This window comes from Homo sapiens, chromosome 7, assembly GCF_000001405.40.
Source record: "Homo sapiens chromosome 7, GRCh38.p14 Primary Assembly".
Lineage (NCBI taxonomy): Eukaryota > Metazoa > Chordata > Mammalia > Primates > Hominidae > Homo > Homo sapiens.
Genome location: NC_000007.14, coordinates 125,327,902 through 125,340,657, shown reverse-complemented (window position 1 = coordinate 125,340,657; position 12,756 = coordinate 125,327,902). Strand labels below are relative to the sequence as shown.

The 12,756-nt window shown below is 35.5% G+C and overlaps 1 long non-coding RNA gene across 1 annotated transcript in view; it reads right to left on the bottom strand.

Moving 5' to 3' along the window:
* Nucleotides 1–12,756, bottom strand: part of LOC101928283 (uncharacterized) — a 194,753-nt gene that overhangs the window by 38,664 nt on the left and 143,333 nt on the right. The window contains exons 4-6 of the long non-coding RNA NR_110188.1: nucleotides 10,911–10,976; nucleotides 10,255–10,401; nucleotides 5,243–5,405 (exon numbers count right to left, since the gene is read on the bottom strand). This is a non-coding gene — a long non-coding RNA (uncharacterized LOC101928283). The remainder of the gene's footprint in view (nucleotides 1–5,242; nucleotides 5,406–10,254; nucleotides 10,402–10,910; nucleotides 10,977–12,756) is intronic.

The following is a 12,756-nucleotide window of genomic DNA, read 5'->3' as shown; positions in this document are numbered from 1 at the left end:
AGAGATCAGCACTTCTATTGCCTACAAAAATCTATACACTGTGGCCTTCGTAATACCACATCATTATAAAGGAACTCCCCCATCCTTTCCCACATATCTTCATATCTTCAGCATGATTTCTCAATATTCCTGAAACCTCGAGTTTCATGAGAACACAACTTCCTGTGCACCAAATTACGTGAAGACGGTTTATATTCTCAAAAAAAAAAACAAAAAAAAAAACACTTAATCCAGTGTCACTATTCTTCTACACCTCCAAAATCAAGCATCCAAAGCATCTTAAGAATACTAATAGTTAATTTTTTTTTTTTTTTTTTTTTTTTGAGATGGAGTCTCTCTCTGTCTCCCAGGCTGGAGTGCAGTGGCGCGATATGGGCTCACTGCAAGCTCCGCCTCCCGGGTTCCCTCTGTTCTCCTGCCTCAGCCTCCCGAGTAGCTGGGACTATAGGCTTCCGCCACTATGCCCGGCTAATTTTTTGTATTTTTAGTAGAGACGGGGTTTCACCATGCTAGCCAGGATGGTCTCCATCTCCTGACCACTAGTGATCCGCCCGCCTCGGCGTCCCAAAGTGCTGGGATTACAGGCGTGAGCCACCGCTCCCGGCCAAAGAATACTAATAGTTAACTTTTAATGAGCATGTAGCGCATGCCCAGTCTGTTTTAAGCATTTCACATGTAATTATAAAGTAAATCTTCAAAATATCTATGGGACAGGATTATTAATATAACTGTTTGACAGATTCTTCATGTCTTAAGTCACATTAAGTAGGAGGTAATCATTTCAACTTTGATTATTAACCTTTATGCTGTAGTACTTCACTTATTTGCTTTTTTAAATTTAAAAAATTCATAATTTTTAGTAATAGTTTACTATTCTTATCTTCATTAAGTAAATAATTTATTTTTTCTTCCTTTCATTATTTTCTACCATGCGTTCCTTGCATTTTTAATGAGGAAGAATCTTCTTTCATTCCTTGCCATTTATTGCTATAAAGTAACATTCAAGCCAAATCTGAGTAAGAGCAATGCTGCTGTATCTTTTGTTTTGTGTTGGTATGTAGTTTATTTTTGTTGAGGTACAGAAGAGCAGTCTGATGAAACCCTATTTCATAAACCTTATTAAATAATAGCCTAAAAAAAAAGAAAAGATTTCTTTAAGTCTAGTTGTAACAAATCTCCATTTTCTGACTACAGCAAGGGTGGTATGACTGCTCACTGGGTATATGCATCAACTGACTTGAAAATAAAATCTACATGTCATGCCGTGGCTCCATACAGCTGCAATAATTGCTGCACTGCAGCTATTGAACCTACTTTAAATGTCAGAGATAATTTTTAATACACATGTTTAGGTTTTGTCATTTTCTTTAATACAAGCTAAAAAATTTGTGGGAGTGTATTAATACTGTATACATAAACAATGACTCTGCAGCTAGCCTTCAGAAACATATGTTAGAATGTCAACACACTATGAAATTATGTATGAAGTGAGTATGGAAAATATGCACATAAACTTATAGCAAACATTTAGTGAGAAAAAACACTTGTAAGTTTTCTATCAGAATTTCAATAAAAAATATTAAGCACTTGACAGCAAATTCATATGCACATGTCATCTGATAGCAGCAACTAATTAAATTATAAAAGGTAGAGCACATCGCATAAAGAAAGTGCTACAGAACCTCATGCCACTTTCATGTTGACCCCTGGATATGTACTTTATTTGCTAAATTCCATTGTATTGTAACATTCTTTTAAAAATTTATGTCATTCCCACTAGCAACACACCTTAGCTGAAAATTAAAGAGAGACTGGAAAAGTCATTCATATAATAGGAAAATTAGTGAAAGGAACTTCTAATTGACATTATAGAGATCAGTGTTTACAAGTGAAGAAAATGAGTAAAATAATTAGGTTGATGATATGTAATAGTACTTATAAGATACTTTTTTGATTAACAAATATGCTACTGGGTTGACCTATTTTGCTCTTTTGTTGTTGGTTTATTTTTTGTTTGTTTTCTGTTGCTATAATTTTTGAAAAATTAAGTTTTATTCCAATTTTAAAGGATGTTTTTAAGTATCAGTACTCTGAAAATTATATTATGTAATATTTGAAGTCTTTTGATACATAATTATTAATATTATTACCTCATGATTAGCCATTGCCATCAACTTAATATTTATTTATTGAGAACCTATTATACACCAGACATTTTCTATATCCAGGAAAGACAACTTAAGTCCTACATGATTACACTTTTATGAGGTATCTAAAGTAGTCACCTTCACAGAAATAGAAAGTATAATGGTGGTTACCAGGGGCTGGGTAGAGGAGGGAATCGGAAGTTTGTTTAATGGGTACAGAGTATCAGTTTTACAAGATGAAAAAGTTCTTGAGACCCATCGCACAGCAACGTGAATCTACTCAATACTACTAAACTGTACACTAAAAAGTTGTTAACATGGTAGACAGAAATTTACCAAATTGTATATTTGACACATGTGTAGTTTATTTTACGCCAATTCTACCTCAATAACACTGCTTTTTTTTTCTTTAAAGATATGGGGGAAACTTAAATATATATTGCTAAATCAAAGAAGCCTATCCGAAATGGTTACATACTGTATAATTACAAGTATAGGACATTTTGGAAAAGGCAAAACTACAGGGACAATTAAAAGATCAGTGATTAACAGGGGTTCGGGGGAAGTGAAGAATATGTGGATTACAGGGGATTTTTAGGGCAGTCAAATTAGTGTATGATATTCTCATAGTTGACACTTTTTAAAACCCATAAGACTTTAGAACACAAATCTAAATTATGGATTGTATTTCATAATGATTTATCATTTTTTCAGCATTTTTAACAAATGTACCATATTAATGCAAGGTGTCAATATGGGGGAATCTGTCAGGATGTGGAGAGAGAATATATTGATAATGTTTGTATTTTCTGCTCAATCTTTTAGTATAAAAATACTCCAAAAAATCTAACTATTAAAAAGAAATACATTCAAAATGCAAACATAATCCAATCAATTCTCACCACCTCTACGGCTTTCACCTTAATTTTAGACCATCATCATTTTTCACATTTTTTGCCTTGCTCCTGTAGAGGGTGTTCTAAGTGTAGAGGCAAGACAGAGTCATTTAAAACATTTCACTCTCCTTTGTAAAACCTTGCTTTGGATTTTAAATTAGAATCAGATAGCTTAAAGTCATCACAGCGACCTATATGACTACCTAATTTTGTACCATATAATTCAATATCCTTTAACTAACTTTTTGGCATCATCTGCCCAGCTCACTTCACTCTAGCTTCATTGACTAGTTCTGTCTCTTTCTTGAACACATCAACCATTCTCTAACTCAAAGATTTTCTTTATTGCTCCCTCTTTCTAGTATGATCTTCTGCCAAACAGCCTGATAAACCTTATGCCTTAATTCCTTTGAGTCTGCTCACTTGTCATTTTCTTAATAAGCAAAAACTTCCTTGATCACCTAGTGTAAAATAGCAAACATTTCTTCTCAGCACTTTCAATCTCTTTCCTTGCTATATTTCTCCACATAGCACTTATCATTATCAGATACACCATCTATTTTACTGTGCAACTCTCTGCAATATAATATGCAAGGAAGGAGAGAGAGAGGAAAGAAGGTGGGGAAGAGAAAAGCAGAGGAAGACAATAAAAATGAGAAAACAAATCTTAGAGATAACTAGGCTTTCTGAAGTTATCACACCAAGTAGGTGAAATCCAAGATTCAGACATTCTTCCAGACCAGTCCCAAATCCAGATAAATATGACTAATCCAAGATTCATGCATAACCATTTATATGATTTTGATACACATATTTATAGGTTTTTGCCTAATTGCCTTATCATAACTCATCTCCGAACATATTTATTTGTTTGCCTTCATGTTATTCTATGGAGTAACTGTAAATTTGAGAGAAGTACTTAGGTACTGTATTTAAGTAGAGGAAGATTATTTCTTAAATAAAGAAGACTGAGGTTTAGTTAAGACTGGTTATTTGTCAGAGTTGGGTCAAATGCAAAAATAGCCTTTTACGTTAACATGATTGGCCTAACAAAATCCTTGCATTTATTCATTAGGGTCATTCTTAAATGGTTCTGCTGAAAAGCGTTTTTGAACAATAGATTAATCCCCAAAGCATTTTAAATCTTTGGGTAAGCTGCTTCAGGTTAGAAATTAAAACATTCCATTATATATCTAGCAAATAGAGTTCAGCGCTTCAGGCTGCGAACTTGTCTAAAACTCTTGCAAAGAGTATCTGTTTTGTAAATGTCTTTTATAGTAAAGTATGAAGGAGTCAGTTTAAATGTTAAGAAAAAAGAAAAAAGACATATGGAGAATAGTAAAACCACAAATTTAAGGTCATGACAAATGTCATGGTTCTTAACAAAGTAACTAACTTGAATTTTGAAGAATCAAGAAAAGTTTTAATTTAGGAATATGTTACTTTGTGCATTTCTTGTTTAGATCTAAAACATTTCTATACAGTTTAGTCTTTTCATCCCATTACACTGCAGTGTTATGGTTTTTATTTTGCAATGTTTAATTCCTTTTCTTGGATGGACAAATTATCCTTGTTTTCCCTGCAGCCCACTCTAATGATTTCCACTAACTGTGATAATGAGGCCAAAGCCGATTAACTTTAGGACTTTCTTCTACTAAAATTGACAAGCAAGCTATGCAGCAATACATGTAACTCTCTCTCTCTCTCTTTCTCTCTCTCTCTCTCTCTCTCTCTCTCTATATATATATATATATCAGATATATCATATATATATCACTATATATATAGGGTGTGTGTGTGTTTGTGTGTGTGTGTGTCTATCTAGGAATATTCTTATCTTCCCTTCTAGCAAAAGGAAAAAAAATCAGTGAATCTGCCAACATGGCCATTGCCAGTTGGCCAGAGGATCAGGTCACTTGCATGTCCTCTCTCAGCATGAGAGAATATTTGCATACTTGGCTGCATTCTAGTTTTGAAGGACACCTGCACTGCTTGTTCTGGTCTTAGTGGGATACAGAGGCACTGTCTTGAACAGCTTTATTTTAACCCATTTAAACAAAGAGTTAAACTAGAATTTAGAACTTTTTAAGGAAGGATGGTAAAAATCAGTATAAATACTTAAGTAAATTTCGTTTTACCCAAATATTAATACATAAAACACATACCTTTTTACTTAGCCTTTTATTATTAGCCATTTACCTTGTTTTCTAGATGGAGGAACTGTGTTTAATGGTACCAACTGTTTTGTGGTGTTTTTGTTGAAGAAGAGGCCATTCTTCTCCCGATGATTATTTTGGACTTTGCAAAAGAACAAGTAAGCACTTACAAAGAAGTTTATACTCAGAATTTGCTCTTTACATCGCTATTGGAAAGCATACATTGGTTATTAAATGAATATACAGCTCTAGACTTCCAAACTTCTGTATTTTGGACTATAATTATATGTCTTGCAGTTTTTTCTTGGTACTGTGAGGTCAACAAGGAAGTTTAAAAAAATGACCTTCTCTAAAGAAGTTTCCAGTTTAAATCTCGAACAAAAGACATTTAACAATTATGCAGTTACTATGTCAGATATTCATAAGTCCTTATATATGCTTTTTTAGGAAAATCTATTGCAGTTCAAGATAGCTATTTATATAACTATCTCTTAGGTTTATGAGTCCTTTCTAGGTAGGAGCTATATCTCATATATGTCTTTAATCCCTAATCAGTGACACAAAATCAAACTTATAATAGGTGTTTAGTAACAACTTTTTTTGTATGATCAAAAAGTTTGAATTCCATAAGCAGAGGTTTCATTTATTTCACACTAGACACATATATTTTATATAATATTTACATACTCTTCTACCTGAACACTTGAGTGTTTTTAGTTAAAAGGCCAAAGAACTACAGTTATTATTTAGTCTTCTCTTTCTTTAACTCATATATCCAACTCACTTTCAAGTCTCATAGATCCAGCAAAATGCATATCAAATCTTTAAATTTTGTTCTTCTCTACTGTTACTTTTTTTTCTTTTCTACCATGAAAAAATGTGGAAAAATGCTTTGATAACTTTAAGGCCATACATAACACACTAATTATTACCACCACTGCTTCTACCTCTAGCACTGCCATTGCCACAAACACCATCAGTATCACCATCACAACCATTACTACCACCGTCACCATAACCACCACCACCATCAGCACCTGTACCATAACTACCATCTCCACCATCATCAGCACCATTATCATCAGTATGCCACCACCACCACTGCCATTGCCAATGCCTGAGTGGAAGAGGAGTAGAGCAGCGAGGTGCTTGAGACAGAATTTTCTCTCCCAAATCCCCCATTATCACCATTGCTGCTAACATCATCAAAGCTAAAACTTGAGGCTGTTTCTATACCTGAAGCCTCAATACTCTTTTTGTTTTATTATTATTATACTTTAAGTTCTAGGGTACGTGTGCACAATGTGCAGGTTTGATACATAGGTATACATGTGTCATGTTGGTTTGCTGCACCCATCAACTCATCATTTACATTAGGTATTTCTCCTAATGCTATCCCTCCCCCAGCCCCCCACCTGACAGGCCCAGGGCCTGGTTTGTGACGTTCCCTGCCCTGTATCCAAGTGATCTCATTGTTCAACTCCCACCAATGAGTGAGAACATGTGGTGTTTGATTTTCTGTCCTTGTGATAGTTTGCTGAGAAAGATGGTTTCCAGCTTCATCCATGTCCCTGCAAAGGACGTGAACTCATCCTTTTTTATGGTTGCGTAGTGTTCCATGGTGTATATGTGCCACATTTTCTTAATCCAGTCTATCATTGATGGACATTTGGGTTGGTTCCAAGTCTTTGCTATTGTGAATAGTGCTGCAATAAACATACGTGTGTGTGTGTCTTTATAGTAGCATGATTTATAATCCTTTGAGTATATATGCAGTAATGGGATTGCTGGGCCAAATGGTAATTCTAGTTCTAGATCCTTGAGGAATCGCCACACTGTCTTCCACAATGGTTGAACTAATTTACACTCCCACCAACCGTGTAAAAGCGTTCCTATTTCTTCACGTTATATCCAGCATCTGGTGTTTCCTGACTTTTTAATGATTGCCATTCTAACTGGCATGAGATGGTATCTCATTGTGCTTTTGATTTGCATTTCTCTCATGACCAGTGATGATAAGCATTTTTTCATGTGTCTATTGGCTACATAGATGTCTTCTTTTGAGAAGTCTCTGTTCATATCCTTTGCCCACTTTTTGATGGGGGTGTTTGTTTTCTTCTTGTAAATTTGTTTGAGTTCTTTGTAGATTCTGGATATTAGTCCTTTATCAGATAGGTAGATTGCAAAAATTTTCTCCCATTCTGTAGGTTGCCTGTTCAATCTGATGGTAGTTTCCTTTCCCGGGCAGAAGCTCTTTAGTTTAATTAGATCCCATTTGTCTATTTTGGCTTTCGCTGCCATTGCTTTTGGTGCTTTAGTCATGAAGTCCTTGCCCATGCCTATGTCCTGAATGGTATTGCCTAGGTTTTCTTCTAGGGTTTTTATGGTTTTAGGTCTAACATGTAAGTCTTTAATCCATCTTGAATTAATTTTTGTGTAAGGTGTAAGGAATGGATCCAGTTTCAGCTTTCTACTTATGGCTAGCCAGTTTTCCCAGCACCATTTATTAAATAGCGCATCCTATCCCCATTGCTTATTTTTGTCAGGTTTGTCAAAGATCAGATGGTTGTAGATGTGTTATTTCTGAGGCCTCTGTTCTGTTCCATTGGTCTACATCTCTGTTTTTTTACCAGTACCATGCTGCTTTGGTTACTGTAGCCTTGTAGCATAGTTTGAAGTTAGGTAGCATGATGCCTCCAACTTTGTTCTTTTTGCTTAGGATTGTCTTGGCAATGCAGGCTCTTTTTTGGTTCCATATGAAATTTAAAGTAGATTTTTCCAGTTCTGTGAAGAAAGTCATTGGTAGCTTGATGGGGATGGCATTGAATCTATAAATTACTTTGGGCAGTATGACCATTTTCACAATATTGATTCTTCCTATCCATGAACATGGAATATTTTTCCATTTGTTTGTGTCCTCTTTTATTTCATTGAGCAGTGGTTTGTAGTTCTCCTTGAAGAGGTCCTTCACATCCCTTGTAAGTTGGATTCCTAGGTATTTTATTCTCTTTGTAGCAATTCTGAATGAGAGTTCGCTCATGATTAGGCTCTCTGTTTGTCTGTGAATGGTGTATAGGAATGCTTGTGATTTTTGCACATTGATTTTGTATCCTGAGACTTTGCTGAAGTTGCTTATCAGGTTAAGGAGATTTTGGGCCAAGACGATGGGGTTTTCTTAATACAATCATGTCATCTGCACACAGAGACAATTTGACTTCCTCTTTTCCTAATTGAATACCCGTTATTTCTTTCTCTTGCCTGATTGCCCTGGCCAGAACTTCCAACACTATGTTGAATATGAGTGGTGAGAGAGGGCATCCTTGTCTTGTACCCATTTTCAAAAGGAATGCTTCCAGTTTTTGCCCATTCAGTAATGATATTGCCTGTGGGTTTGTCATAAATAGCTCTCATTATTTTGAGATACATTCCATCAGTACCTAGTTTATTGAGAGTTTTTAGCATGAAGGGTTGTTGAATTTTGTTGAAGGCCTTTTCTGCATCTTTTTGTCATTGGTTCTGTTTATGTGATTGATTACATTTCTTGATTTGCATGTGTTGAACCAGTCTTGTATCACAGGGATGAAGCCGACTTGATTGTGGTGGATAAGCTTTTTGATGTGCTGCTGGATTCGGTTTGCCAGTATTTTACTGAGGATTTTCACATTAATGTTCATTAGGGATATTGGCCTGAAATTTTCTTTTTTTGTTGTGTTTCTGCCAGGTTTTGGTATCAGGATGATGCTGGCCTCATAAAACGACTTAGGGAGGATTTCTATTGATTGGAATAGTTTCTCTTTCCATTTGTCTTGGAACTCTTACTTCTTTGGCTTCCTTAGCACTTCTCCTATTTGCTGACTACTTTTAAGTCTTTTTAACTCCCTTCTCTACCAGCTGACCTTTAAGTATTGTTTTTCCTTTCCCTCAGCCATTGTCACTTCACTCCATATTATGCAATCTCATTAATTCAGATGTTAATGAAACTCAAATCTCTATGTCCAGTAAAAATCTTCTTTTTCTTTTCAAGTTTCTTTGAAAACAACAAACCAAATAGCTCACAGTAACTTCAAAATAAAGCATTTCTAAAATAATTTCTCTTCTCACATTCCAAGGTGATTTCTTCTGAACGTTTCATTTTTGCCACCTTTTAATCATTGAACTAAGTGGATCAAATTAGAAAATGAAAAGTTATTTTCTTTATTATTAAATAAACAAATTTATTAAATTTACTTAAATTTAATGAAGAATATAAGACTATTGGTAAATTAATTGTGGAGGAAGTAAAGGAAAGAAAGCACACAAATGACTTTTAGCTTCCTAGTTTGATCCATATACATCATAGAATACTATGTAGCCATAAAAAGAACAAGATCATGTCCCTTGCAGTGACATGAGTGGAGCTGGAGGCCATTATCCCTAGAAAACTAACATAGGGATGGGAAACCAAATACCACATGTTCTCACTTATAAGTGGGGGCTAAATGATGAGAACACATGGACACATAGAAGGGAAAACACACAATGGGGCCTTTTAAAGGTGGAGGGTGGGAGGAGGGAGAGGATCAGAAAAATAACTAATGGGTACTTGCCTTAATACCTGAATGATGAAATAATCTGTACCCTCATGACACAAGTTTACCTATGTAACAAACCTATGCTTGCACCCCTGATCTTAAAATAAAAGTTAAATAAATAAATAAAAATGTTTCTCATATATAGGCCACCTTTTTCATTCCTACATCTGGTGATATCTTCACTTATTCCCAATCTACAGTTACTTCTCAATTTATGACAGGATTACATCATCATAAAGATGAACCCATCAGTAAGCTGAAAATACATTTAAGATACCAAACCTACTGAACTTCACAGCTTAGACTAGCCTACCCTAAACGTGTTCAGAATGCTTACATTAGCCTACATTTGGGCAAAATCTTCTGGCAATACAGTGCACTGCAGAATATCAGTTGTTTACCCTCATAATCTTGTGGCCTGACTGGTAGCTTCAGCTGCTGCCCCCCAGCATTGCAAGAGAGTATGGAACCTCAGAATGCTTACATTAGCCTACATTTGGGCAAAATCTTCTGGCAATACAGTGCACTGCAGAATATCAGTTGTTTACCCTCATAATCTTGTGGCCTGACTGGTAGCTTCAGTTGCTGCCCCCCGGCATTGCAAGAGAGTATGGAACCACACATCCTTAGCCTGGGAAAAGATGAAAAATTCAAAATTCAAAATAAGGTTTCTACTGAAGATGTATCACTTTTGCACCACTGTAAAATTGTAAGTTGAATTATTTTTCAGGATTCTATTACAATTATAGTCATGGCCTGCATAACTGTTTTAGGCAAAGATTATGTTTTAGTCAAACATTATGCCCTGCATAATGTTTAAGTCAATGACAGAAAATTGCACATACAAATGTCATTTTATAAGATTAAATACTGTATTTTTACTGTACCTTTACTATGTTTAGATATGTATAGATACAAAAATATTTACCATTGTGTGACAATTGCCTACAGTATTTAGTACAGTAACATGCTGTACAGGTTTGTAGCCCAGGAGCAATAGGCTATATCATACAGCCTAGGTGTGTAGTAGGCTAAGTTTGTTTAAGTATCCTCTATGATGTTCCTATAATGACACAGTCACCTACAAATGCATTCTTTAGAACACATCCTCATTGTTAATTGATGCGTGACTGTACTTACCTGTTTTTTCTGCCTCAAGTTTCAAAGCCTTACATCCATGATCTACATGATGTCTGTGTTAGTTTCCTAGGGATGTTAAAATAAAGTATTACAAGTTGAGAGCGCGAACAAAATAAATTTATTGTCTCAAAGTTCTGGACTCTAGAAGTACAAAATCAAGATGTCAGCTTCCTTCGCCCCTTCTCAGGTTTGTGAGGGAGAATCTGTTCTATGCAGCAATCCTAGTTTCTGGTAGCCTCATTTGTTTTTTGGCTTACAGATGATATTTTCTCTGTGTCTTCACACCATTTCCTGTTATATCTATTTCTATGTCAAATTTTGTCTTTGTATTAAAATACCAGTCACAATGGATTAGGACCCACACTAATGACCTCATTTTAATTTGATCCTCTGCAGAGACATTGTTATGGGTTGAATATTATCTCCTCTCAAAATCTCTGTGCTGAAATCTAATCCCTGATGGATGTGAGTGGTATTTGGAAGTGGGGCCTTTGGGAGGCAATTAGGTCATGAGGGGGAAGCCCTCATAAATGCGATTAGTGCCCTTATAAAGGAGACCAGAGAGCAACTAACTCACCCCTTCTGCTATGTGAGGACACCAGAAGAAGTCAGAATTCTGCAACATGGAAGGGAGCCCTCCACCAGAACATGACCATGCTGGCACCCTTATCTAAGACTTCCGGATTCCAGAACTGTGAGAAATAAATTTCTGTTTTCTCAAGTAGCCCAGTATGTGGTACCCAGTTATGATACTATGACACCCAGCCAGAACTAAGACAGACCCTTCTTCCAAATAAAATTATATTTATAGGAACTGGAATGAGGACTTCAACATATTTTGTGAAGAACACAATTCAACCCATGACAACTGCCAGAGGTATGATTGTAAAAGATGTTGTATTACATCCCTCTCTTTCTTAACTCCCCATTATTATTTCATAAAGTCAACTACTTAGGAAATAATTAAGGCTATCTTCAACCTACTTCCAATATTTCTTTCTCATCTTGTCTGCTGGTAATGCCTATCAATGGCCCCTTGCTCCAGCCAGTATATTCCTGATGCTTTGAATTTTCTGGGTTTTGCTGAAACTCCACTCTTTACCTGAAATATTTTTCCCACTTTCCCCTGGCTACTAACATTTTACTTCATTTTCATAACCCCAAATCAAATGGTGTGTTCTCTAAAAAGAGCCCCTTGATTCTCTCGTCTCAATCTGCAATTCCATATTCCCATGGCATGCATTTAAACCTTTTAAAATGTAAGACTTACAAAGCCTAACTTCTACAGAGATCTCCCTTATTCTTCAATTAATTCTATTCTACTCCTTTTAATGAGCCAAAATGGCATGTGAATAGTGAATATTTAAAAATACATGATTTATTTAATTGATCTATGTTTGCAAGTAGGGCCTCCTGAAACTATCAAACCTGAAAGAATCACAGTACCATTGATGAAAATGGAAAAGCTTGACAGAGCAGCTTCTATGTCAGAAATTTTAATGAGCTTGACTGATAGAAGATACTCGTTAAATATATCAGAGCAGAATGCATAAATCATTCCCATAAATGTAGGGATTGAATTTACTATATGAAATCTCCAAGTGGTTAAAGAGAGTAACCAAAGGCACTCAGTGAGCTTTGGGAAACTCTATTATTTATTGGGTGGAAGGAGAAATAATTTCCAGATCTACAGAAGGTGAGTAAATGAACGACAAAATGCAAGATACGATGTGTCTGGTGTAGAATATAAATTTAATAATGGCTGGTTCTCACCTTAATTCTAGGCTTAGTTCTAGAATGTAGATACCACAAAATGGAAAATAAAAACTAATATATTTACAGAGAT